Genomic DNA, 4,234 nt, shown 5'->3' with positions numbered 1-4,234 from the left:
GTAGATATCCCTTTTCATATAACATTATCAGGCTGCAGATACACAAAATGTCAATATTTTCCCTCACTTCATTATGCTAATCACACTCTGAGCTCCAGTGCCGGGTCCGTCCAGGAGTCAGATGTTTGCGCTGATGCAACATTTACAAGCAGCTGATCTTCCCAGGCAGCCGCCTCCCTCATTTGCAGATGCAGACGAGGGCTAATGGGCCAGAGTAAAGCATGTGTCTGCTGTGGTGACCTTCTAACCATGCCGGCACCCCGAGATCTGTCACGCAGCTGCAGGGGCCACGCCGCTCCCCGCAGTCTCCTTCACCGGCTCCTTCTCCACACTGCAATCAGAAGTGCTTACATCAATGACCGAAGCAGAAAGAATGACAATGTGAACTCACACCTAGGAATGTGTTTCTGGCTGGTGTTCAGTCTCGATCTGCTCACCTTAGAGCTCCATGTCCTGTGGCGCCCATCAATCCTGTCCATGGAATTTGTTTATTTATTTATTTACTTTGAGATGGAGTCTCGCTCTGTCACCCACCCAGGCTGGAGCGCAATGGCGTGATCTCGGCTCACCCTGACCTCCGCTTCTTGGGTTCAAGCGATTCTCCTGCCTCAGCCTCCTGACCACGCCCAGCTCATTTTTGTATTTTATTAGAGACAGGGTTTCACCATGTTGTCCAGGCTGGTCTCGAACTCCTGACCTCAGGTGATCCACCCACCTCAGCCTCCCAAAGTGCTGGGATTACAGGCGTGAGCCACTGCACCCCGCCACATCCATGGAATTTAAAGGTGGAAGAAGAACTGGAGGCTCGGGTCAGTCACTGAACTGGCCGTTCCTCGACAGCCTAAACAGCACATGCTCCAGGTGGATCAGCCCGCCCTGTCGAAGGGCAGCTTCCCTAGCAGCGACCCTTGTGCTGGGGGCGATGCCTGCACGTTTTCGCGGTGTGCTGTTGAAGAAGCCTTGCGGGAGAAGGCACGGAACAGGCAGGACCAGGGCTTGGGTAAGGCAGCCTTGGCTGGACAGGGGAAGCTGTGCCCTGAGGCTAGGGGGTGGGCCTCGGGCCCCTGCTGTGGGCTTCTAGCAGCCAGCACCCAACAGTGTGGGCTCCCGGACCGGCCCAGCAGCGCGCACTGCAGCCCAGTGCACACCGGCTCACATCCACTTCCACGCCTCCCTCACGGTCTTCCTCCCGGGAAGGAGTTCCCGTCTCCCAGATGCCCAAACCCCGTCGCTCCCAAGTCCGCTTGTCCTTGTCCCCAGCCAGCCCCCCCCGGAGCTCCCATCGCGGAGGCTGTGCCGGGTCTGAGCCACACAGCCTGACGTTTGCCGGGGGCTGCCTCAGACGGTTCCTGCCTCCTGCGTGTTAGGTTTGCGTCTTCAGCACACTTGCGTTTCCTCAGTGGTGGTGCTGCGGGTTGAAATGTGTCCAAGAGACAGGTGGAAGTCCTAGCCCCAGTGTCTCGGAATGGGACTTTACTGCGGAACAAGATGTGGTTAGTGATTAGCTGTGCAGGAGTAGGATGGGCCCCCAATTCGATGTGACTGTGTCCTTATAAGATGGTCCCGCGGACACAGAGACATGGTGGGTAGAATGCCTGTGACACCAAAGGAAGAGATTGGAGCCAGGCAGCTGCAACCAAGAAACACCAGGAATTCCGAGCCCCTGGGAGCTGGGAGAGGCGGCGGGACGATCCCCAAGAACGTCTGGAGGGAGCAGGCCCTACCCACACCTGGATCTCCAACTTGCAGCCCCAGAACTGTGAGAACAGATTTCTGTCGTTTCAAGGATGTGTCTTGGTACTCGGTCGGGGCCATCTGAGCAGACTCGCCGTGGGGAATGTGACCTGGTTTAGCTGACATTCTGTTTTGGTTTCATTTTCATTTGAGACGGAGTCTTGCTGTGTCGCCCAGGCTGGCGTGCAGTGGCACCATCTCGGCTCACTGCAACCTCCGCCTCCCTGGTTCAAGCGATTCTCCTGCCTCAGCCTCCCAAGTAGCTGGAATTATAGGCGTGTTTTTTGCCGTCTTGCCCAAGCTGGTCTTGAACTCCTGCGTTCAGGTGATCTGCCTGCCTCAGCCTCCCAAAGTGCTGGGATTACAGGTGTGAGCCACCGTGCTCGGCTTAGCTGACACTCTAAATGCAGACATCCAGTTGAGCAGAAGACCTGGAGGAGGTCGTCTCAGCAGCACTAACTCAGGGCGCTTTCCAAACCCGCTCCAGAATCACCTCCACAGTTCATGGCACCTTTAAAAAATGTTTCCTCGGCCGGGTGTGGTGGCTCACGCCTGTAATCCCAGCACTTTGGGAGGCCGAGGCAGGTGGATCACCTGAGGTCAGGAGCTCAAGACCAGCCTGACCAACATGGAGAAACCCCGTCTCTACTAAAAATACAAAATTAGCCAGGCATGGTGGCCCATGCCTGTAATCTCAGCTACACGGGAGGCTGACGCAGGAGAATCTCTTGAACCCGGGAGGCAGAGGTTGGGGTGAGCCGAGATCGAGCCATTGCACTCCATCCTGGGCAACAAGAGCTAAACTCTGTCTCCAAAAAAAAAAAAAAAAAAAAAAAGTTTCCTCAATGGTAACAAAACTTGATTCTCTGAGGGGAAAATAGATTTTTGGAAGCACCAGATATGGGCGATGAAGTTGGGTTGAGACACTGTTGGGTCAAGGGTGAACTGGGACTAGAAAGTCCCAAGGTCCCATGTACTGAGGCAAGCAAGCCCAGAAGGGCCTCAGGAGACCTACACAGTGGGCTCAATATACACGTGTGTCACGGTCATGAGAAGAATGCCCTGGAGACCAACACCCAGGCAGATGTAGCTGGAGTTTGTTTTTAAGTCTTTATGGGTTTTATTTATTTTTTTTTTACTTGAAACGGACTCTCACTGTCTCCCAGGCTGGAGTGCAGTGGCGCGATCTCGGCTCACTGCAACCTCCACCTCCTGAGTTCAAGCAATCCTCCTGCCTCAGCCTCCCCAGTAGCTGGGATTACAGGCACCCACCACCACACCTGGCTAATTTTTGTAGTTTTAGTAGAGACAGGGTTTCACCGTGTTGGCCAGGCTGGTCTCGAACTCATGACTTCAGGTGATCCACCCACCTCGGCCTCCCAAAGTGCTGGGATTACAGGCGTGAGCTACTGTACCTGGCCACATCTTTTTATTTTATAGTCATAATTTGCATATCCTTTAAAAAATAATCCACAGACGTCTGGGTGCATAGAAAGGGACCCGTTAACGTGTTCCATTGACCAGCCACACGCTTCTAGGGTGGAAGCTAGGTCTGCGGTGGAAGCTAGGTTTGCAGTGGAAGCCTGTGACACCGCACAGAAATTGCTGAATTAAGGACTCACTACCGTTGTCCCTGCATCGATGCCCCATGGCTACTGCCACAGATCGCCACAAACGCAGTGGCTTAAATATCATTAATGTCTTCTCTTCCAGCTCTGCAGGTTAGAAGCCCTGCATGGTCTCCCAGGGTTACATCAGCGCATCATGGGCTGTGGTCTTTCAGGGACTGTGGGGAGGACCCGCTTCCTGCCTTCCACAGCTTGAGAGGTGCCCACATACCGTGTCTCTCATCCTGTCCTCCACGGTCAAAGACAACCGAGCTGCCTCCCTCTGCCCTCTCCCCTCTCCCCTCCCCAGGCTCCCTCCCCTTTCTCCTGCCTCCCTCTTCCCCTGTCTGGACCCTGTAATTTTACTGGGCCCACCTTGATAATGCAGGACACCCTCCCTCCCTATTTGAAGGTGAACCAAGCAGCACTTTCAATTCCATCCTAAATACCCTTTGCCATGTAACCTAACATATTCGTGGGTCCCGGGGATTTGGATGTGGATACCTTGGGACGGGGGAAAGAGGGTCATTATTCTGCTAACACATTCATTTATGCAAATGAAAACATTTATGCATTTATTTAACTTTTTCTTTTTAGCCTTTACCATGCCCCAGACACTCTTCCAGATGCCGAGGACAACAGCAGAGAACAACACAGATCTGATTCTTGGTCTCATGGAGCACACACTGTAAGGAGTGGACAAGAAATAAGACAAAGAAGACTGGGTGTGGTGGCTCATGCCTGTAATCCCAGCGCTTTGAGAGAGTCGCTTAAGGCCAGGAGTTCAAGACCAGCTGGGCAGCATAGCAAGACCCCAAGAGTGTCCTCTGTGGGGCTCTGGCTTCTGCCCCCTGGACTGCTTTGAGCAGGAAGGTCTGTGACTGCCTCTCCAT

General features: G+C 53.8%; 1 annotated feature.

Annotated features, from left to right (window-relative positions):
• Nucleotides 248-947: an enhancer, noted in NCBI's record as "H3K27ac-H3K4me1 hESC enhancer chr7:156833123-156833822 (GRCh37/hg19 assembly coordinates)". NCBI's record gives its function as "activates a minimal SCP1, AML or CMV promoter by ChIP-STARR-seq in primed H9 embryonic stem cells {active_cell/tissue: H9 hESC(primed)}" and the evidence as "EXISTENCE:reporter gene assay evidence [ECO:0000049][PMID:30033119]".

Source organism: Homo sapiens, chromosome 7, assembly GCF_000001405.40.
Source record: "Homo sapiens chromosome 7, GRCh38.p14 Primary Assembly".
NCBI classification, from domain to species: domain Eukaryota; kingdom Metazoa; phylum Chordata; class Mammalia; order Primates; family Hominidae; genus Homo; species Homo sapiens.
Note: the sequence above shows the minus strand (reverse complement) of the source record. Positions and strands in the feature narration are given on the sequence as shown.